The sequence below is a fragment of the Homo sapiens genome, chromosome 2, assembly GCF_000001405.40.
Source record: "Homo sapiens chromosome 2, GRCh38.p14 Primary Assembly".
Taxonomy (NCBI): domain Eukaryota; kingdom Metazoa; phylum Chordata; class Mammalia; order Primates; family Hominidae; genus Homo; species Homo sapiens.
Window position 1 is genome coordinate 90111390 of NC_000002.12, and position 25039 is coordinate 90136428.

Sequence of the window (25039 nt, forward strand, 5' to 3'; positions counted from 1 at the left end):
TCCATGCTAATTATGTTTGTGCAATTGTTTAAGGCAGGACACTTGGATGTAAGAATTCTCCTGTTCTGTTGACTCTAAGAAGCCAGAGTCACATTGTTCTATGGCCCCAACCAGGCCTTTGGGGCTCATTGTTGGCCACCCCACTGAGGCTCCAGGATTTTCTGCACTGGTCAGCCCCTGGATACTCCAGGGTTTCCTGGCATTTGGTGTGGGGACACTCATAGGCTGTTACTTGGGTATTCTGGGTTTTCAGCATTTGGTATTTTGGGCCACTATCTGGATGCTCCAGAGTTTTCACCCTTGACATTCCTCCTTGGATTGTGCATTGGAGGCTTGCCCTACAGGAATCTTGGTTTGCCTTTTCTTGTTTTCTGCCCTAAAGTTATCGTTTTCCATTACGGCATTTTGTTTTCTTATTGTCACCTTACTTACACTTTTTCTTCTACACTTTACTTAATAAAAATATTGCTTAAATCCCAGTGCGGTGGCTCACGCCTGTAATCCCAGCACTTTTGGAGGTCAAGATGGATGGATCATTTCACGTCAGGAAGACCAGCCTGACCAACACAGTGCAACCCTGTCTCTACTAAAAATACAAAAAAAAAAAAAAAAAATGAGCTGGACGTAGTGACACACACCTGTAATCCCAGCTACTTGGGTGGCTGAGGCCTGAGAATCACTGGAACCCAGGAGGCGAATGTTGCAGTGAGCCAAGATTGCACCCACTGCACTCCTGCCTGGGTGACAGAGTGACAGTCTGTCTCAAATAATAAGCAATAGAAATTTAAAAATAAAAAATAAAAATACTGTTTGAGTCATATTTTGTTCACTAACAAATGCTTACAATCCATTTTCATAACGTCTGGCTACCTATATGTATACCTTCTATGCAGGAAGTGGAAATCTGAGATGAGAACAATGATGGCCCAGTCTCTTTCCCTCTTGTTGGACTTAGAAAAACTTCTGTGTCCAGTAGAAATCCTTGTTAGACATGGGGACAATGGCGAGCATCACAGAGGACTTGCCACTAGGGTGTCTATTAGGCTATTGGAGCAAATTCAAATTCAGCTTAAAGAAAAAGAAACTCATTTTCTATCACAACACTGCTTGGGTTCAACACAAATTAGAAAACCAAGAGACTTGTCTTAAACATGAGTCCATACATTATAACGCTATTTTACATTTAGACTTATTCTGTAAAAAAGAAGAAAAGTTGTCTCTTGTGTACATGCTTGTGTGGCCCTTTACTCCCTCCTGTTATTAGCCGGGTGTGGTGGCACATGCCTGTAATCCCATCTACTTGGGAGGCTAAGGCAGGAGAACCACTTGAACCACGGAGATGGAGGTTACAGTGAGCCAAGATCGCACCACTGCACTACAGCCTGGGCGACAGAGCAAGATACTGTCAAAAAAAAAAAAAAATTGTAGCTTTGAATTTTAAACATCTATTTGACAAGAAATGCATAGTTCCTTCTCTTTAAAATAATGTAATGTTTCTTTCAAGAGTAAGCTTGGTTTGATGCCTCTCTCCCCAACATGATAGAAGTGTAGCATAAATCTATGAAAAATTCCATTTCACTGTGCCTACAACCACTACCTGGGATTGAAAGCTTCTTCCCTTGCTCTAGTCCTTTCTTCTACACTTACTTCCACATCATCTGTGACTCAAAACAATACTTGTCAGGAAAGATCCTGGAAAGAGCAAAAAAGACTTCCTTAGAGGTGTCAGAGATTCCTGTGCCACTATCTGTCATCTCTAGAAGGGGTTGTGAGTATGAGGAAGAGCAGAGCTTGTAAATTTTCTACTTGCTTTCACTTCCACTGTATTTCCTAACAACAACAACCACAGCAACACCCATAACATCACAGGACAAACCTCTAGTACTTCCAAGGCTTTAGTCTCAGTAAATCTTCTCTACCTCCATCACAGCAGCTAGAAGGTTTGATACTCATACAAATAGTACTGTAGCTTTCTGTTCATAATTGGAAAAATAGACAAGACCCAATGTAATACAGGCTTTCCTTCAGCCAGTTAGCGTTCAGTTTTTGGATCACCATTGCACACATATACCCAGCATATGTCTAATATATATGTAGAAATCCGTGAAGCAAGAGTTATAATAGCTTGTGTTTTCTATTGTATTGTATTTTCCTCTTATATCATCTTCTTCTTCGTTCATTAAAAAAAAACTGTTCAAGTAGGTCTAAATTACTTATTGGACCATAAGTAGATAAAATCTTTTATTTCATAACACATTGACCCGATGAATATGTTTCTTTGCCAGACATAGTCCTCATTTCCAAGGTAACAAGCCTGAAAAAATTATACTGGAGCAAGTCAACAGGTAATGATGGTAGCTTTTCCTTATTGTCCTGGGGCAACAATAAGACAAAAGATAACAGGGTAGAATAAAGATTGTGTAAGAAAGAAGGACAGCAACAGGACATGGGAACCTTTTATAGAGTAACATTTTGATAATGGATGATGAGAATTAATGCGTTAGACAGGGATGGGTGGGAATGATTGAAGGTGTGAGTACTTTAGCACAGATTAAGACCAAATCATTAGGATTTAAAGAGTTGTGTAGAGTTAGTGAAGGAAAAGCCTTAGAATTAAATTTGGCTGTGGATAAAACATTCTTGGATTAGACTGAAGACTCTTTTCTGTGCTAAGTAAGTATATTTATGATAATGATGATGACTGTAGTGCTAAATATTTAATAAATAAAAACAAAATTAATTGCCACATACATAATGTCCTGAATACTATTGTAAATGTTTTATCTTATTTTCTTTAAACTGTCTACAGCACTATAAGGTAGGTACCAGTATTGTCACAGTTACACAGATATGGAAACCGAGACACAGGGAAGTTAAGTTACTTGATCAATTTCAAGCAATCGGCAAGCCATGGAGCATCTATGTCAGGGCTGCCAGGACATGTGACTGTAAACAGAAGTTTTTCACTTTTTAACTCAAAGAGGGTATGTGGCTGGGTTAATGGAAAGCTTCAGGACCCTCAGAAAACATTACTAACAAGCAAATGAAAGGTGTATCTGGAAGATTAAGTTCTAACAGATTCTTCATTTCCATCGATCCAATAATGCACTTAGGGAGATGACTGGGCATATTGAGGATAGGAAGAGAGAAGTGAAAACACAGCTTTTTATATTGTTCTTAACAGGCTTGTGCCAAACATCTTCTGGGTGGATTTAGGTGATTGAGGAGAAGAAAGACACAGGAGCGAAATTCTCTGAGCACAAGGGAGGAGTTCTACACTCAGACTGAGCCAACAGACTTTTCTGACCTGACAACCAGGGCGGCGCAGGATGCTCAGTGCAGAGAGGAAGAAGCAGGTGGTCTTTGCATCTGGAAGCTCAGCTCCCACCCCAGCTGCTTTGCATGTCCCTCCCAGCTGCCCTACCTTCCAGGGCCCATATCAATGCCTGGGTCAGAGCTCTGGGGAGGAACTGCTCAGTTAGGACCCAGACGGAACCATGGAAGCCCCAGCGCAGCTTCTCTTCCTCCTGCTACTCTGGCTCCCAGGTGAGGGGAATATGAGGTGGTTTTGCACATCAGTGAAAACTCCTGCCACCTCTGCTCAGCAAGAAATATAATTAAAATTCAATGTAGATCAACAATTTTGGCTCTACTTAAAGACAGTGGGTTTGATTTTGATTACATGAGTGCATTTCTGTTTTATTTCCAATTTCAGATACCACTGGAGAAATAGTGATGACGCAGTCTCCAGCCACCCTGTCTGTGTCTCCAGGGGAAAGAGCCACCCTCTCCTGCAGGGCCAGTCAGAGTGTTAGCAGCAACTTAGCCTGGTACCAGCAGAAACCTGGCCAGGCTCCCAGGCTCCTCATCTATGGTGCATCCATCAGGGCCACTGGCATCCCAGCCAGGTTCAGTGGCAGTGGGTCTGGGACAGAGTTCACTCTCACCATCAGCATCCTGCAGTCTGAAGATTTTGCAGTTTATTACTGTCAGCAGTATAATAACTGGCCTCCCACAGTGATTCAACATGAAACAAAAACCTCAAGAAGACCATCAGTGTTTACTAGATTATACCAGCTGCTTCCTTTACAGACAGCTAGTGTGGTGGCCACTCAGTTTTAGCATCTCTGCTCTATTTGGCCATTTTGGAGCTCAAGTTCTCAAGTCCAAAATTACTTATGTTATTCCATTACATCATACCATTTCAGTGTGGCTATTACATTCATTTAAACGCATTTCAGAAGGCATCTCTGTTTATGGCATCACAAAGAGTTTAATAAATCTGTGCAAGAATAAACAACAAACACACCTATAAATATAAAGCTGAAATATCAAAACTATTTCAGCACTCTGAAAATTGGCAAAGCATAAAATAATTAAGGATGCATATTTTTTATAGAAAAAAAAAGTACTAGTGCTTTGAGTAAGGACAGAAAATGTCTGTAGCCTTTTGCCTGTGACAGCACCCTTCTATTCCCAGCTCAGTCAATATGAATTGCAGAACTGGAGTTTTACCCATGTAAGGATAGCAAATAAAACTGGCAGCTTGCTGCCAAAGTGGGTGGACTTGAGTAAAGCCAAGGAGTGGGAAATAATTCTTCAGTGTTTCCAGCTAAACAGGGAGAACACCATAGGAAATGAACAGAAAAAGCCCACAGCCTTGCTAGTCCAAGATGATGCCTTGTTTGAGGCAAGTAGTACATCTGCTGATAGTAAATAGCAGATTCCTGGATAAGATAGACCCACATTGCTGAAATAATCTCTGCACATATTCCTAGTGACCTAGAAGTTATAGATATGAGTGATGAGAACTAGGAGTTTCCGGTGCAAAGTAAAACCAGAGGGAGGTAAGAACTAGCTGCATTTTGCATGCAGTTTGCTTTTTAAACTACACACAGATGGGTTGACAGAAGATAGATTTATAACCTCCAGATATTTGAGCAAAATGTCTCAGATCATTGGTGACCACTTCGCTATGCAGATACATGTGTAGTTCCTATAAAATCAAACTAAATATTAATATTAAGAACAGAAAGAAGCAGAGATATCTGTGGTCAAACGCCACATGAGATACAGATTTTTCTATATCTTGCATTGAAAATATATTTAATACATCTAATCCACTTAACATTATGCCTCAGCCTATCCTATCCTAAATATGCTCAGAACACTTACATTAGCTTACTGTTGGTCAACATTATCTTACACAAAGCTTATCTTACAATAAAGTGTTGAATACCTCATGTAATTTATTGAATACTATATTGAAAGAGAAAATAGAATAGTTGTGTAAATACTAGAATTTCTATTTCTACTTGAATGCATATCACATTCACACCATCTGAAAGTCAAAACATTATAACTCCAACTGTCATAAGTCAGGTACTATCAGTAAGTTCAGACAAGAAACTAAGAAGAAAATTAAAAAATGATCAGAAAAACAAAACAAATTCCAGGCCTGACATGGTGGCTCAAGCTTGTAATCCCAGTACTTTGGGAGGCTGATGCAGAAGGATTACTTGATGCCAGGAGTTCGAGACCAGGCTGGGTGGGCAAAATAGTGACACTCTTATCTTACAATTAAAAAAAAAATAACAGAGAGTGGTGGCATGCCCCTATAGTCCCAGCTACTCAGGAGGATGAAGCTGCAGAACCCCTGGACCCCCAGAGGTTGAGGCTGCAGCAAGCTATGGTCACAGCACCACACTCCAGCCTGGGTGAAAAAGTAAGACCCTATTTCTAAAAAAGTTAAAATTAAAATAAAAAAGCCCAAAATCTAAAGACAGCTACTATAATATGCTATCAAAAATGTACAATTTTTAGTTTAACAACTTCTGGAAAAAAGCAGAGAAGTATGAACAATATTAAAGGAATAAAAATAAAGCAGCTACAATAATAACAACAGAAAATAGTCAATGAAAGCTAATTCTAACTTGCCCCAATTATTGGATTTAGCAAAGACTACAAAGCAGTTAATATGCAGATGTTCAAATAATTATGTTTAAATCTATGATCATTGACATAAAAAAGAAAATATTAAAAAAAAAGAAGATTCGGCAAGTAGGGCCTCAAGAAAAGACATGGAAAATATAAAAAAATGACCAAATTGGAACTCTAGAAATGAAAAGTGCAATAAACCAATTTAAATATTTGTTAGCTAGGTCTAATAGCAAATTGAGATGGCAGAACAATCAGTTAACTTGAAAATAGAGGTATAGAAATTATTGAGTCTAAAGAAAAAGTTTAGAAAAAAAAGAAGACTTCAGAGATTTATAGCTCAGAGTGAAGAATACCAACAAATGTATAATAAGAGTCACAAAGGAGGAGAGAAAGAGAAAGTGGCTGAAGAAATCTTTGGAGAAATAATGACAAAAACTTTTCAAAAGTAATAAAAAATTCTTAGATGAAAAAATTCAATAAAAATCTTTTAGATAATCAATAGGAATTAATAACTGAACACATTATATTAAAATATTGAAAGACAAAGAGAAAATCTTCATTGCATCAAGAATGAAAGCAGACACTACATACAGAAAAACAACAACATAGCCATTGGCCGAGTTTTCATCAGGACCAATAGAGGCTAGAAGGAGTGAAATGTCATATTTAAATGCTGAAAGGAAAAAAAAAGGCAACCAGGAAATCTATATCCATCGAAAATACCCTTCAAATCTAAAGAAAAAGCAAAAAAATTCTTTGATAAACAAAATACATTCATTCATAGCAGCTATGTCTCTTACAAGACATTTGAGAGAAAATCCTTCAGAATCACAGGAAATGACATGAGACAGGACCTTGAATCCTCTGAAAGAAATGAAGGCCTCAAAAGTTGTAAGGAGCAATACCAAGTCTAAAAAGATAAAAATACACTTAATGCTATTTATATAAAGTTTAAGACAGGAAAACCTAAATGATTGTATAGATGTCAGAAAGACATTAATTTTGCTGGGTGAGAGGGGTGATAACTGACAAAGATTGTCCATGAGGGAAGCACAAGGGAATGTGAAATATTCTATCATTCCATTCGGACAATGAATTACACAAAAACTGTATTCAGTTGAACATTCAAGATTTATGCACTTTACTCTGGCTACTTTATCAGTTGAAATAAAACTAATAAAAACCAAACCTAGACTCTTTCACATTTACCAGTAATCACAGCCAAGAGCCCAGACTAATTTGGATTATTATTATTATTATCACCACTTCAATACCCTTTCTTGACATTTACACTTTTTATCCAGCTACAGTTTCACAGCTCCACCTCTGGCCCATTCTTTTGGAAGACCCCATAGCCATAGGTTAGGTAACACCTATGGAAGACTCATAAATGACATGATTGATGGGTGTTTAGCAGAAAACAAGTAGTATGTATCACAGACTGTCCTATGCAGAGGGTACAATACACGTCAGTGAGAGAGTCCCACTAGCACAGAAAAGAAGTGTGAACTACACCTTCAGAATATGGTCCAGATTTTAGAGTTCATCAGATGAACACAGATCAAGGTGTCCTCTCATCTGGGTATGGGAAAGTGAAATGACTGCAGGTTCTCCCCAGATCAGTGGCCTCTGTCTTTGGAGACGTGTACATGAATCTCACATTTGTTCACATCCACAGTCACTTCCTGGCTTCACCCATAGCAATGATGGTCTGGCTTCGTTATTTAGGAACTCTGCACACAGGCTGTCAGTTACTAAAATGAAAATTAAAAACAGTGACTTTGGTTAAATGTATATCAGTAGGTACATCCTTGAGGGAAAAATGAGCAGAGGTGACATATTTTAATATCAAATAAAAAATCACAATCTTGTGACTCCTTTCTCTTCCCATATAATTCATGATGGTTGTACTGATATTTCAGAGTATCAAATGAGTCTTATATTTTCATCCCTATAGCTTTGTCCTTCTCCAACCTGAGCCCACATTTTGGCCATCCAGTGGCTTCCGAGCACACTTGTGAGATGATCACTGTCCAAACAGGATTGCTGGGATAACTCACAGGCAGCTCCATGCTGAGTCTCCCTTTGAACTCCCAGCATCACTGACCCTGAAGGAGTGTCCTCCTGTCATCCAAAGCACCCAGAGCACAGCCTTCCCTGTGGTGATTTCACTGCCCAACTCAAAACCTCATCACAGATTCCACTGGCTCAGAGACAAAGTCAGGTCCCAGGCAGAGGCTGGTGTGGGGGCCTAAAAAAACCATCTTTTCATCAATCTTTCTGTTAGAAATTTCCAGGAATTTATAAGCTGAATTTCTATAATAGTTACTATCTTAAAAATAAAAGCTATTTGTAATATGAGAAACATAAAACATGGGAAATAATTAAAACCCACAAGAGCATCATATAGTCAGAGACTCAAAATTCACCTAATCTAATTCGGAGCTCCCTGCCTTATGGTCCATCTCCATGGTGTCTATGTGCTCCACCCTTATCAAATATATGTTCAAAGAATTATTTTAACCTATAATAAAAGACTGAAAAAGGAATTTGTAAAGACAATGATTCAACCAATAGAGGCTCTCAAACAGAGACAAAACTATGAAAACAAGCATACTGGGAAATCTAGAAATGAAAAGTACAACAACTCAATTGAAAAATGTATTAGATAGACTCAATAGCAATTTAAGATGACACAAGAATCAGTGAACTGAAAAACAAGTCAATAGAAATGGTCTCATATAAAGAAGGAAAAAATTATAAAGAAGAATGAATAAAACCTCAGACATCATAGGTCCATGTGTATAATACCAACAAATTTGTATTAGGAATCACAAAGGAGAAGACAGAAAGAGGCTAAAAATGTGTTCCCATCTTTATGCCCATGAATACCCCATGTTTAGCTCCCACTTATAAGTGAGAACATGTGGTTTTTGGTTTTTTGTTTCTGCATCTGTTCACTTAGGAAAATGGCCTCCAGCTGCATCCAAGTTTCTGCAAGGCCAAGATTTTGTTCTTATTTATGGCTGCATAGTATTCCATGGTGCATATATACCACAGTTTCTTTATTGAATCCCTGGTTGATGGGCACAATAGACATTGTGCTAGAAGGAACACAAAGGGAGAAAGGGCAGGGGCTGAAAAACTACCTATGGGTACAATGTTCACTAACTGGTTAATAATTTCTGTCATACCCCAAACCTCAGCATCATGCAAAATAACTTTGTAACATATCTGTACATGTATGGTTTGATTCTAAAATAAAAACTGAAAAAGAAAAAAATGGAGAAATAATGAAAAACATTTTTCACAATGATGAAACACATTAGTCTGTACATGAAAGTAACTCAGTGAAACTCTTCTAGGATAAGCACAATACAATTCATAACAATACACATTATAGTACCAATGTTGAAAGACAAAGACACAGAGAATTTGGAAGGCATCACTAAAATACTGACTTACTCTATACTAGGAAGCAATAATAAAGGTATTGGCTAAATTTTCATCATTACTAATAGAGGTGGGATGAGAGTGGAATGATATATTTAAATGCTGGGGAGAAAAGTCAGCCACAAATGCTATATCCAGCAAAACAATCATTTAAACGTAAAAGCAAGGTAGAAATGTTCCTTCATACACAAAGACTAATTCATTATAGCATATGTGCCTTGTGGAAAATTCAAGAGAAAATCCTTCAGAATAACAGGGAATGAGAGCAGACAGCAATTCAAATTGATAAGAAGGAATCAAGCCCTCAAAAAATGAAAGAAATAAGAAAGAAGCTACAAAAAATGTTTACCTGATATGAAGATTAAGTACAGGAAAAAAAACAATTATAATAGATGTCACAGTATCAGTTACATTGATTGTGTTTTGAGCAGCAGTTGCTGACTGGGAAGGTGCATAATGAAAGCAGCAAGAGAATTGGAAACCTTCCATATTTTGATGTGGATCATGACATGAAATGATCTGGATTTCGACATTCATTTGCACCCTTAAGATTTGAACCTTTTGCACTGTGTGTTTTTCCTTAAATAAAATAAAATAAAACAAACCTAGGCTCTTTTAAATAAGCCTGAACCAAGAAATAAGAATCACCAAATATTTATGAAAGCTCAACCTTATTAAAGAGAAGTGTAAAACATGCCTGAGAAAGTCCTAACGAACTAGAAATTGGGTAGAGGAAATAGCAGGAAACATCTAAATATGTCCCTTCTGCCACTCAGGAAACAGATTTTACCTCTCTTGATATCCTTAAAAACATAAAATATATTTATGTCATTTTGCTCACAAGAGAGGTCCCCACCTTCTCCTTGGCTCTTTCCACCCCACTGCACCCACCAGGGGATTTGCATGCTGTCCCCTAGGGAAGACCTTCCCTTGTGAGTCTGAGATAAAAGCTCAGCTCTAACCTTGCCTTGACTGATCAGGACTCCTCAGTTCACCTTCCCACAGTGAGGCTCCCTGCTCAGCTCCCTGGGCTGCTAATGCACTGGGTCCCTGCTGAGAGCAGAAGGGAAATGAGGGAGGATGATGGGGTGGGAGGGTGAACTCTGTGGGCCCTGCCACCTCCCATGTGTGTTCTGTCCTCGTGTTAGATGTGTCTTGTCCTCCAGGATGGGGCATGTGATGTCTAGATCTGTGAGAGTGAGGAAGATTCCAGAAGGAGCAAGGACATGTACTTTAGTGAAAGCTGTGACACAGAAAGAGGGGGATGGGATAGGTGATTTCTAGAGGCTTATTTGTGCTTTGCAAATCTTGGTTCTTTTTAAACCTGTATGTTTTGGGAGTATTAACCAAAATCATACACAAAAAATAATTGAGCAAAACATAAATAACAGACAGAAAATTATTAAAATGGCTCACAGTGTTTGTACATAACCTTGCACTTCTCTCTTATTATTTCAGGATCCAATGGAGATGCTGTGTGAACCAGCCTCCACTCTCCCTGCCCATCACCCCTGGAAAGCCAGCCTCTATCTCCTGTAGATCCAGTCATAGCCCCTTTCACAGTAATGGATACACCTATTTGAATTGGGACCTACAGAAGCCAGGCCAGCCTCCACGGCTCCTGATTGATTTGGTTTCCAACAGGGACCCTGGAGTCCCAGACAGGTTCAGTGGCAGTGGGTCGGGGACAGATTTCATGTTTAAAATAAGGAGGATGGATGCTGAGGATGTTGGGGTTTATTGCTGCCAGCAAAGTACACATTATTCTCCCACAATGGTACAGTCCTGAACACAAACCTCCCTGCTTGCTGTGGCCTAGCTGCCCAGATGTGTTGTTTCTGTGGAGAGCAGGCACTGTGGATTCTCTTAGATGCCTAAAGACCAAGATGTTGGAGAACTCAGAGGACTTGGTACAGCTGAGGGCTCATGACCATAAATTTCTCAGCTACACCTCAGGCACCACATTTTAAGTTCCCATCAGCTGCAGCAGCCTTTGCATGACAGAGTCTGCAAAAAGGAGGAGGAACACCTCCCCTTTGAGCAATGAGACACAAGAGAAGAGAAAGCTCAATGAAAGCTCATTCTAAGCCTCTCTTCCTTCCCTACATTCATTCATCAAGTAAATTCGTTCTGCGTAACAGGCACCTAATTGAGACTGACTACTGGCAACGCAAAACTAATACATTCTTTTGATTTGGTTTAGCAGTTACTAGAGTATATGTATGTTGATAAGGTTTGGTAATATTAAAACAGTTTCCCTCCCCTCCTCCACCTCCCCCCACCACTTTTCCGAAGGCAGACCCCTGACCAGGACACCAGCAGGCACTGTATTTTTTCCTACTTTTTTCAGGGAGTACCAAAATATAACTCTTCACGGTCTAGATTTTTAAGTTACTAGATATGTTGCTGCAAATGTATGCAAAACTAAAGACCTAGTGCCAAAAGTCTTTCCACAGTCTCAACCACAGCATGTTGAAGTAAAAAGTAGTTTTCTGAACTCCAAAGCTGGGTTTCAACAATAAGGACCAAGTTTGAAAGAATAAAGGAACATAAATATGCCATCTTAAACAGAATTACAAGATAATATGTAAGCCATATTTTTACCGCATGAAAAATAACCATCTGAAGACTTAGAGCAGAGGTCAGTACGTGAGAGACTGGTGGGTTGCGTTTGAGATATGAACCCAGATGCAAGTTCTTATGTATTTCCTGGGAAGAATCACAGAGTTGAGAGACCCCTGCCTGGCATTCAAGGCTGGGCCCTGACGCCACTGCAAGCTCCTGAGGAAGTGCTGCATCACACAGAGCTCTAGGTCTGTGTGGTGACTCAATGGTTACCTTAGGTCGTATCACACATTCCAGTCAACCCAGCAGGAAATAGATGATCTTCCAAAGGTTGATTCTGCTTGTGTCACTTACCTAGAAATAATTTGAGAGAGAAATTTTAATACACTATATGTGTATTAGGCATTAATAAGTTGAGGATATCTTCTGTATAATAATCTTGCATATTTAGCAAGTTAATATAAGAAAAAATCTATAATTAAACTAATTCAAATGAAAGCATGAATCAAGAAAATCAGAGGAAACAAGACGGTAGGTTTAACCCTAACTTTACAATAATTGCATCGTAAATAAACAAATTTTTCCAAGTAAATCATAAAATTATCAGACAGGATTAAAATCAAAGATGTATGTTAATCATTAAATACACACTATAGTAAGAATATAGAATGGCTTTGAAAATGAAAGGATGAAAAGTACATATCATGTAAAACTGAGCAAAAGAAACTAGGTCATGACTTTAATGCAAGAGATAAAATGGACATTTTATAATTATAAATTGGTAAATCCATCAAGAAGCCATTAAAATTCTAAATCTGTCTGAATCCTGTATTAGTCTGTTTTCACCCTGCTGAAACAGACATACCTGAGACTGGGAAATTTACAAAAAAAGAGGTTTAATGGACTTACGATTCCATAAGCTGGGGGTGCCTCTCAACCATGGCAGAAGGAGGAGCAAGTCACATCTTAACGTGGATGGTGGCAGGCAAAGAGAGAGAGCTTGTGCAGGGGAACTCCTCTTTATAAAACCATCAGATCTCATGAGACTTACTCACTATCATGAGAACAGCATAGAGAAGACCTGCTCTCATGATTCAATTACCAACCACCGGGTACCTCCCACAACCTGTGAGAATTCAAGATGGGATTTGGTTGGGGACACAGCCAAACCATATCACTCTGCCCCTGGCCCCTCACAAATATCATGTCCTCACATTTCAAAACCAATCATGCCTTTCCAGCAGTCCCCCATAGTCTCAACTCATCTCAACATTAACTCAAAAGTTCACAGTCCAAAGTCTTATCTGAGACAAGGTAAGACCCTTCAACCTATGAGCCTGTAAGACCAAAAGAATGATAGTTACTTCCTAGGCCCAATTGTGGGTACAGGCATTGGGTTAATACAGCTGTTCCAAATGGGAGAAATTGGCCAAAACAAAGGGACTACAGACCCCAGACAAGTCTGAAATCCAGGAGGGCAGTTAAACCTAAAGTTCCAAAATGGTCTCCTTTGACTCCATGTCTCATATCCAGGTCGCGCTGATTCAAGAAGTGAGTTTCCGTGGACTTGACTAACTCTGTCCCTGTAGGTTTGCAGAGTACAGCCTCCCTCCTGGCTGCTTGCAAGGGCTGGCGTTGAGCATCTGTGGCTTTTCCAGGTGAACGGTGTAAGCTGTCAGTGGATCTACCATTCTGGGATCTGGAGGACAGTGCCCCTCTTCTCACAGCTCCACTAAGCAGTGCCCCAGTAGGGGCTCAGTGTGGGGGCTCCAACCCCACATTTCCCTTCAGCACTGCCCTAGCAGAGGCTCTCCATGGGCACCCCACCCCTGCAGCAAACTTCTTGCCTGGGCATCCAGGTGTTTCCATACATCCTCTGAAATCTAGGCGAAGGTTTCCCAACCCCAATTCTTGACTTCTGTGCACTTGCAGGCTCAATACCACGTGGAAGCTGCCAAGGCTTGGGTCCTCTGAAGCCACAGCCTGAGCTCTACATTGGCCCCTTTTGGCCATGGCTGGAAGAGCTGGGACACAGGCCAACAAGTCCTTAGTCTGCACACAGCATGAAGGCCCTGGGCCTGGATCACAAAACCACTTTTTCCTCCCAGGCCTCTGGGCCTGTGATGGGAGGGGCAGCCATGAAGACCTCTGACATGCCCTGGAGACATTTTCCCCATTGTCTTGAGGATTAACAACACTGGGCTCCTCATTACTTTTTTAAATTTCTGCTGCTGGCCTGAATTTCTCCTCAGAAATGGGATTTCCTTTTCTATCACATTGGCAGGCTGCAAATTGTCTGGACATTTATGCTCTGCTTATCTTATGTAACTGAATGCCTTTAAAAGCACCTGAGTCATTTCTTGAATGCTTTGCTGCTTAGAACTTTCTCCCACCAGATACCCTAAATCATCTCTCTCAAATTCAAAGTTCCACCAATCTGTAGGGCAGGAGCAAAATGCCACCAATCTCTTTGCTAAAACATAACAAGAATAACCTTTACTCCAGCTCCCAACAAGTTCCTCATCTTCATCTGAGAACACCTCAGCCTGGATTTCATTGTCCATATCATTATCAGCATTTTGGTCAAAGCCATTTAACAACTCTTTAGGGAGTTTCAAACTTTCCCACATTTTCCTGTCTTCTTCTGAGCCCTCCAAACTGTTCCAACCTCTGCCTGTTACCCAGCTCCAAAGTCATTTCCACATTTTTGGGTATCTTTTCAATAGCGGCCCACTCTCCTGGTGCCAATTGACTGTATTTGCCCATTTTCATGCTTCTAATAAAGACATATCCGAGACTGGGCAATTTACCAAAAAAAAAAAAAAGAGGTTTAATTAAGTTACACTTCCATATGGCTGGGGAGGCCTCACGGTCATGGCAGAAGGCAAAAAGTAGCAAGACACAACTTACGTGGATGGCAAAAGGCAAAGAGAGACAGCTTGTGCAGAACTCCTCTTCATAAAACCATCAGATCTCAAGAGACTTATTCCCTATCATGGGACAAACACAGGAAAGACTTGCCCTGAGTATTATGAACAATGTCACATCGGTGGTGATATTGGGAGCAATTTCATCCTCTCCACCACAGGGTACTATGAACAATATCACAAAAGAGGAGTAAATCACCCGTGATATGGAGAATAATATTATCTTCTCCACCACAGGGTATTACAAACAATATTACAGAGGGGGTACACTGCATGTGATATTAGGAGTTATATCATCCTCTCCCTGCCTGGGTATTACGAACAACAACATCATGCTGGGGCAGGGTACAATGCCGAGATATTGGGAGTAATATCATCCTGACAGCCCTGTGTATTACAAACAATCTCATGGCGGGGAGTACGCCACCTGCGATACTAGGAGTAAGATAATCCTCTCCCTCCCAGATATTACAAAAAATGTCACAAGAGGGTGTACACCCCCCACAATATTGGGAGTAATATCATACTCTCCCCTCCTGGATATTACAAACAATAGGACAGGGGCGTGTATACACAAAAAGTTTATGATATTGAAAGTAATATCATCTCCAATCACCCCTGAATATTATGAACAATATCACAGGGAGGTGTACACTCCCTGAGATATTGGGAATAATATCATCCCCTCCTCCCCTGGATATTAGGAACAATGTCACAGGGGTATGTACAACCCCGTGGTATTGGGCGTAATATCATCCTCTCCCCACCTGGATATTATGAACGATATTACAGGGGGGTGTACACAAAAGGTGTTTACGATGTTTAAAGTAATATCATCTCAAATCCCCCCGGATATTAAAAACAATATCACAGGGGGATTTTACACCCCCCACTATATTGGGAGTAATGTCATCCTCTCCCCTCCAAATGTTACAAACAATATCAAAAGGGGGTGTACATTCCCCACAATATTGGAAATAATGACATCTCCCCCCGATTATTACCAAGAATATCACAGGGGGGGCACACCCCCCACGATATTGGGCATAATATCATCCTCTCCCCTCTCTGGATATTATGAACAATATCACATGGTGGTGTACACCCCCCACAATATTGGGAGTATTATCATCCTCTCCCCCTCTGAATATTACGAACAATATCACAGGCGGGTGTACACACAAGGTGTCAACGATATTGAAACTAACATCATCTCCAATCCCCCCCTGGATATTACAAACAATATCACAGGGGGGTGTACACTCCCGGCGATATTGGGAGTAACATCATCCTCTCTCCCACTTCATATTACGACAATATCACAGTGGGTTGTACACCCCCCGCAAAATTGGGAGTAATATCATCCTCTGCCCCCCTGGATATTAAGAAAAATATCACAGGGACGTGTACACTTCCCGAGATGTTGGGAGTAATATTATCCTTTCCCCCACTGGATATTACGAACAATATCACAGGGGGGTGTACACACAAGGTGTTTACGATATTGAAAGTAATATCATCTCCAACCATCCCTGGATACAATGAACAATATCACAGAAGGGTGTACACCCCCCGCAGTGTTATGATTAATATCATCCTTCCCCCCCGAATATTAAGAAAAATATTACAGTGGGGTGAACATCCCCAGCGATATTGGGAGTAATGTCATCCTATTCCCCGCTGGATATTGCGAACAGTATCACAGGGGGCTGTGCATGCCCCGCGATGTTCAGAGTAATTTCCTCCTGTCTCTCCCAAGATGTTATGAACAATATCACAGAGGCGTGCACGCCCCCGCGATACTGGGAGTAATATCATCCTCTTAACTCCTTAACGAACAATATTACAGGGGTGTGTAAAGCCACCGAGATATTGCCAGTAATATCATCCTCTCCCACCCTGGATATTATGGACAATACCAAAGGAGGGTGTACACACAAGTTACTTACGATATTGAAAGTAATACATCTCCTCTCCCCCACTGGACATTATGAACAATATCACGGGGGGTGTACACCCTCCGTGATACTGGGAGTAATATCATACTCTCCTCTCCCGGATATTACGAACAATATCACAGGGGGGTGTACACACAACGTGTTTACGATATCGAAAGTAATATCTCCTCTCTCTCCCTGGATATTATGAACAATATCGTGGGGTGGGGGGGTGTACACACAACGTGTTTACGATATTTAAAGTAACGTCATCCTCTCCCCCCCACCCCGAATATTACGAACAATATCACAGGGGGGTGTACACACAAAGTGTTTACGATTTTGGAAGTAATATCATCTTCCCTTCCCCCACGGATATTACGAACAATATCACAAGGGGGCGTGTACAGCCCGGGCGATATTGGGAGTAATATCGTCCTCTCCCCTCCTGGATATTATGAACAATATCACAAGTTGGGGGTGTACACTCCCCACGATATTGGGAGTAATATCTTCCTCTCTCCCTGGATATTACGAACAATATCACAAGGGGGTTGTACACTCCCCGCAATACTGGGGGTAATGGCGTCCTCTCCAACCCTGGATATTACGAACAATATCAAAATAAGGGGTGTACACCCCCCACGATATTGGGAGTAATATTGTCGTCTCCCCCCAGGATATTATGAATAATATCACAAGAGGGGTGTACACCCCCCACGATATTGGGAATAATATAGTCCTATCCACCCCCCTGCCGGATATTATGAAGAATCTCACAAGGGGGGGTGTAAACCCCCCACGATATTGGTAGTAATGTCATCCTGTTTTCCCCCTGGATATTAAGAACAATAACACAAAGAGGGGTGTACACCTCCCGCAATATTGGGAGTACTATTGTCCTCTCCCCGCTCTGGATATTACCAACAATATCACTATCTTGACTAGTGGTTTTGACAGATCATCAGGCCTTAGAAGAAACACATCTGAAGGATTGGACACAAAGTCACTCTGGAGGAGATATGACTGGACCTTCCAAAAAAGGACCAGTAGAAAAAATAAATCCTTTCCAAGTGAATATTTATCTAAAGGCCATTAGAAGCAGGAGCTCAAAATAATTAAAATAATTCAAAACATGGACTTCATCAGTTACCTTTCCCAGCTTTCCCAGGGAATCTCATGAACTGATGTCATGACTATCCATGCATGGGCTTAACAATATGAATTTCAGTTAACTGGGACTCACGGGGATACTGGCACTTCTGAGCATCCACTTTTCCAAGGAGAATAACCCAAGATTGTACCAGACATCAAGGATCAGACTAACAGCTGGTGTCAGGTGTTTTTAGCAGGCCTCATCCAACATGAGAAGAGCAGCAGTTGTTTTCCTGTATATGCATTTGTCTTTCTTTCAGTTATATGTCTGCATGAAATATTATTTGAGGATTTTCCAAGTGCTTTCATCACAGTTAAGAAATTCTTCCATAATATGGCATTGAATCAGGCAAATTATTTACAACAAAAAAGTAAGGCAAAGGGTGCAGTTCATGATCTTATCACCTGCACAGGTGCAGCCGTCTCTATAGAAAGGAGAAAACGTATTGTTAGTCAAGCAAAACTGACACACAAACCCTAGGTAATTGAATTGATACCCTGTCAGATGTGGTGAAGGTTCTGACACGCTAATCATGTATGATGCTGTAACTTCCATCAAGGAATATATGTATAGTGAAAGTGAGCTGTGTACTCATAGTTAATTATTATGCCAACTGAACAGCTGGAAACATTGGTCGCTGTGGCACCCACTGAATAAAAGGAGACTCAGTGGCAGGTAGGCCCCTTTGCGAATGGGAGACGGCATAAACCTCACCTGGGTGTTCTTTTGGTTCCCTTAGTCAAAATCATGAACAAAGTTGCCAACTTTGAAAAAGGCGTTTTGCAACAGTAGCCTTGGAATCTGTTCAACAAGGCCTGGCCCAGTCACTTCTCTAAGATTTTTACAGCCTGCTAACCAGATGGAAGTCCAGGTATCCACAACCTCTATGCATACTCAGTGGAGCGTATAGCAACAGAAAACTATCAATGAGTGCACCAGCCTCTCAATCTTAGGACACATAAGTTGCCTGAATCAGCCACTGAATGTGTTTATATTGAATGGCAACTCCTTGCTTGCTATTAGGCACTGATGGAGACTGAACATGTTAAGGCTTCAGCACCATGTGTGACTGTGACACTGGTCCCTTAGCTGTCCATTCTCACTTGGATACTTACAAACACCATTAGTAAAACTGAACAATCTGAACAGAGCCATGTTATCAAATGGAAATGGCACATTCTTGATCAGGTTTAGTCAGGACCCCACAGGATCTGTGGCTCCATGAACAAATGGGGAGCTTGCTAGAAGGGACCAAATAACTTGTAGGTGATAATTTGGCTCTTTATTTGCCCATGTGGAGCCCAAGATTCAGAGATTTCCATATGGCAGGAGTCACTGAAGGCTGAGCAAAACGCTAACTGACAGGTCCACTAGGTGTGGCCACCATTCAGCCAGTGGATGGCCACTTTTTTAACTGAAACTTAACATGGGCTTTCTACCCAGTGGGCAAAACTACATTCAGTGGTAATGGCCATGCAGGCTGTCCCAACAACGCACCATGCCACATATCCACTAAATCCTCGGCCATTGCCAACAGCCTTGCCATCTGTTCAGGAAAATGGCAACTGAGAGACTGGACTATTAAAGAATCCCCAGTGTGAAGGAAAGGACTATGGCCACAGCTTTCCACCTGCAGGAAAAAGAAATATGATGCTCAATTTGATGCTGGGACTACCTAGGTAACCCTTGAGTGCAATTTATGTCATATTTTTGGATACTCCATGAGACTTCTCACTCACAAAGGAGCATCTTTCACTGCCCAAGCAACATGACAATAGGCACACTCTCATGGAACACGATGAACTTTCCATGCACCCTGCATCCACAGGCCAATGATCCTAGTGAATGCTAGATCAGTGGAATCACACAGCAATATGCAGAAAGGACATCTACAAAGTCTGTTAATGGGGTGGTATCCCATCTGACTAGAGAAATATGTACATTAAGGATCCTGGGCCACAAAAAGGGAAATAGTGCATGTTGAGAAACACAGAGCTGGGTGGAAGTAAAGGTAGGCCAGGCAGACACTTATATTAGTCTGGACCTGTGAAAGCTATTTCAGTGTTCCTAACCATTCCTTTTCTTTTTTTCCTTTAGAATATATGCTCTGGGGTGGTTTGCAATCTAGGCCATTACAATGCCCCAGACAGGCCCCCTAACTCTAATAGGAGGATTATGTTTCCTCTGGGTGCTTCCTTTCTACAAGATCCCACAGTGATGGATAACAAGACTAAGAAATATCATGGAGCTAGGGGCCCTCTTCTGGTGCCAGGGACATCTTATCCTCCCTTTAGTGTTGGTGATATTATGAAATATGACCAGTTTTTATAGGGCAGAATCTCCCTTCCTGGAGTGGACAATCAGGACTGAAATATCTGGATCAAGTGACAAAGGCAATGGATTGTTCACAGAGCAAGGACAGCCAGACCGCATTCCTACACCAACACGGCCCAACCCTTGTAGATGGGTAGGGGACACCTGAGACCCTGGGATGGGTGAGAGATGATGCATTAACCTGTGAGGCTGCATTTTGACAAGAATGAGGCAGCAAAGGCCTAGAAGCACAATGTCTTTGTTAGCTTCTTTTAGGTCACCAGGGTGATCTTTCAAAATAGTGAATCTCCCATTCTTGACCTCATTCTGTCATTAACTAGAGGTTCCCTTTCATTCCACCAAGGGTAAATTACACCAACATTCCTAATACTAAGGTGTACATCAAAAGGACCCAAGCACTGGCCCACGAAGTGAGAATCTGACACCTGCCACATGGGAGGAAACTGGAGGACCCCTGTTTAACTTAATTGCCTCTGGCGAATGTCATGACCACAACTAAAAAAAACATTGGTGGACTAATATTTTGATGCACCATACTTTTTTGATTGCATAGATGAGAAACATCCCAATGGCAATGATAAAAACAAGGACTGGACTAATGCTAGCCCTCTGTCTACAGACAATATTGTATGAGCAAAACTTTGCTCACGCAACTCTACTATCAGTGAGACTTGGCTAATGAACGCACCAATACCAGCATAACCATGACTGAGTGATTGAAGAAAAATGGGAAAAGGGGGGCTGTATGCACCCAAGGGCTACATCTTTCTCTGTAAGCGGTTTGGGAGTGACCAAAATGCAGGATATGTGATGCCATCTCTGGATATCTGTGGAATAGTGAGATCCTGCATGTTGGGCATGCTGGGGTTGTCTCTGGATATTGTTCCTTGGAATTAGGTAAATCATAGAGCCTGAAGCCCAAAGCTGTACCTCAGACTTACTAGGGACCTACCAGAAGGTACAACAGATGATAGGTTTATGTCTTTTATGATATTTTTGGTACTACGTATAGGAGTCAGTGCTCATGAAAAAAAGTGAAATGATAAGGAACTTGTCCCTGACCATGGCAGATATTGCTCCTCCTCCATAGCCACTGCCTTGGTAACCCAGCAGACATCCCTTAACTCCATTGGGATGGATGTTTAAGATAACAGTGTTGCTCTAGACCTTTAAAAAATCCCAACTGGGAGGAATGTATACAATTTCCAATACCCCCTGCTATACCTGGATAAACACCTCAGGTATCCTAGAAATTCAAGTAGAGGAGATCTGGAAACAAGCTCATAATTGCAGAAAATGGATTCTGCAGATTCAGAAAATCCCACCTGAAGGATTCTTCTTTCACCCCTTTAGCAACTTCTTCTGTGGATCATGGGATCCTGGGCTACATAACTGCTTCAGGTGGGCCTGATCATTCTGCCTCTGGTAGTAGTTTTCATTGGCCCAGTGAAATCTTTTCTGGCTCTGTCTCAATGATGTTGCTTTGAGATTGTGTCAGTCAAGGTGCTTCATCCCTCTGACAAGACACACCTCTGCCTCCAGTTCACGGTGGTTGGTAGGCATATAAAATGGAATAGCTTTCTACGGGGGATGTCTGTGTTGGGGGACGACTTCACTCCAGTCCTCCGATGGTCCTGGACTCACTTGATTTTCCCCACTCTCTTTCTTACACTTCTCAAGAATAATTGTAGAATGTGCTGGAAATGTAACATTCTGAAATAGCGAGGGACAGGTCAGAACAGACTGGCTTCTGATCCAGCTCCCTCTAGTACTGTCCTCCTGTACTTAAGTCCTCCAGTACTTTAGCTCCATGTGTCCTGTGACACCAGGGTTTAAAACCCAGAGCATCTTCTTTCTGGGGTTCCTTAGCTCTGGTCCAAGAGGGGTACACACAGTCAAGATTCCATCAGCCCCACTTACCTGTGCCTCAGGGTAAAGACCCACAATAAATCCTCAGCTTCTGCCGTGCCTTGCTGGCCACCTGTAAATACTAAACTAGATTCTTGTAACTTGTTGTGTATGATTGTTCTGTCTCCCTGGACTCTGACAGGTTGGTAACCAGGGCACAGCAAACCTGTTTCACAGCAGTCACTGTCATAGAGACAGAACTTGATTACAGGTTGCCAGGGACTGGGAGCAGGGGAAACGGGGAGGGGGTTGTCATTTAATGGCTATGGAGTTTCAGTTCTGGAAGATGGAAAGAGTTCTGGAGATGGATATTACTGATGCTAGCCCAACAATGTGACTATACTTAATGCCATTGTCCTGTACACTTGAAAATGGCTAAGATGGGCAATTTTATGTTCTCTATACTTACCATAGTTTAAAAACTTCACATCTTTATTATGATATTATTGGATCAGAAGGCATCGTTCTATTTTCTAATTTTCTCAGCAAATGTTAATAAATAATCACTTAGAGATGCCATTGTTTACACCACATCTTAACAAACAGTGTTTTTTTTCTAGAGATGAGGGGGTCTCCCTATGTTTTCCAAGCTGGTCTTGAACTCCTAGATTTCTGCTACCCTCCCTACTTGATCTTGCAAACATCTAGGATAACGGGGATAAGTCCCCGCACCTGGTCTTAACTATCAGTTTACCAGGAGGTTTAACAGGGAACTTCCTTGAAAATGTGTATTCCATTGCAGCCACCTCTAAGGCCAGACAATCTACTAAGCTATATTTCTGCACCCAAGTGCACTGCTCCCTCTGTGATGCCACATGCCCTCAGCATGAAGTCCCATAAGGAGAACAAGGCAAGGAGGCAACCAAATGTTCTGAGTGGAAATTATTGTGAAGGGCTGGCATTAGAAGAGCATCAGTATTGCAGTGCTACTTGACTAGCAAAACACTCTCTGGCTTATGTTGCTGGATATTTTTTTCCTCAAACTTTTGCTAATACTGAATACTAGGGTTGATATGAGAACCTTACTATGCTAAGTCTAGTTAAATGCCATTTCATTGAAGATATATTGCTTTATGGAATATAATAAGTATTGAAAATACTTATTACTACTCCAACACTCCCTTTATATATCATGTTACCATCCTAAACATTATGGCTTGATAAAAGTGTTTGATAGGGAACTAGGACAGTATTGATTCTGTTCTCAATGTCCTGTAACACATCAATTCCCCAAATTGACAAGAAAATGGGAAGAAAAACATAGCTTAATAATCACTAGCTATTCTGGTTACTGTTGAGTAACAATTAGGTGAAATCTTAAAAAAAATTGAAATATTTTGGAGGGTGTGGAGCTATAATAAGTTATTGGTGGACATGTAAAATATTATAGCCACTTTGGGTAAAGTCGGACAGAGTATTAAACACTTACTGATAAACACAGCAACTACACGCCTAGGTATTAGCCCAAAAGAAATGAAGACATATGTTCATGCAAAGTCTTGTTCAAGAACATTCACAGCAACTTTATCCATAATAGCCCAAAATGGAAACAACCCACACGGCAATCAATAGATGAAGGGATCCATCATAAAATTACTGAACAGTTAAATAATACTCAAAAATAAAGAGGAGCACATAATTAGAACACAGGACATCTGAATGAATCTGAGAAAGAGTCATGCTGCACAAAAGTCACCAGACACAAAAGAGCGCATCCTATGTTTCATTTATGTGAAACTCTTACAAGGAAAATGAAATCTGTACTGACAAGAAGCAGATCAAAATTCCCTGATCTGTGAGGCAGAAAGCAAGTTGATTCCAAAAGAGTGGGTCAAAATGTTTTGGAGCTATAGAAATGTTCTATGTCTGGATTTTGGATGTGGTTCTAAAGATGTATTTATTTGTGACAGTTCATTGACAATGTGTTTTATTGTAATCATTTTTTTTTTACAGTGAACTTAGTTAACAGCGAGCAAAGCAAGTGTAAGGCCAATTGGGTAGTGTTGTCTTCACATCTTCTGTCTTGCAGTGTACTGAAAATTGTATGAGCCAGAATATCTGAGAGATAATCTCTGCTTTGAAACTGAAGAACTGTGTATCTCATGGCAAGATTTCTCTTTTCCAAGTACTTTGGATTTTTCTTCTATAGAATGAGAATTTAAATACACTTCACAGATAAAGTCAAAGTGAATAAAATACCTAGGAATCCAACTTAAAAGGGATGTGAATGACCTCTTCAAGGAGAACTACAAGCCACTGTTCAACGAAATAAAAGAGGACACAAAACACATAGAAGAACATTCCGTGCTCATGGATAGGAAGAATCAATATAGTGAAAATGGCCATACTGCCCAAGGTAATTTATAGATTCAATGCCATCCCCATCAAGCTACCAATAACTTTCTTCACAGAATTGGAAAAAACTACTTTAAAGTTCATATGGAATCAAAAAAGAGCCCGCATTGCCAAGACAATCCTAAGCAAAAAAAAAAAAAAACAAAGCTGGAGGTATAACACTACCTGACTTCAAACTATACTACAAGGCTACAGTAACCAAAACAGCATGGTACTGGTACCAAAACAGAGATTCAAACCAGTGGAACAGAACAGAGGCCTCAGAATTAACACCACACATCTACAGCCATCTGATCTTTGACAAACCTGACAAAAACAAGAAATGGGGAAGTATTCCCTATTTAATAAATCGTGCTGGAAAAACTGGCTAGCCATATGTAGAAAGCTGAAACTGGATCCCTTACTTACACCTTATACAAAATTTAATTCAAAATGGATTAAAGACTTAAATGTTAGACCTAAAA

General features: G+C 40.8%; 1 pseudogene, 1 gene segment (V, D, J or C) and 1 further gene, besides 4 other annotated features; all 3 read left to right on the forward strand.

Annotated features, from left to right (window-relative positions):
- The window catches only part of IGK (immunoglobulin kappa locus), a 1378008-nt gene that overhangs the window by 1254029 nt on the left and 98940 nt on the right, over positions 1 to 25039 (forward strand).
- Positions 3498 to 3546: a sequence feature.
- IGKV3D-15 (immunoglobulin kappa variable 3D-15) lies at positions 3498 to 4011 on the forward strand. The segment is given in 2 exon segments: positions 3498 to 3546; positions 3716 to 4011. Coding segments are annotated over 2 exon segments (345 nt in total), but the record flags the coding sequence as incomplete, so codon positions are not given.
- Positions 3716 to 3726: a sequence feature.
- Positions 10398 to 10446: a sequence feature.
- Positions 10398 to 11163, forward strand: IGKV2D-14 (immunoglobulin kappa variable 2D-14 (pseudogene); annotated as a pseudogene). Its single transcript is given in 2 exon segments — positions 10398 to 10446; positions 10852 to 11163. Coding segments are annotated over 2 exon segments (361 nt in total).
- Positions 10852 to 10862: a sequence feature.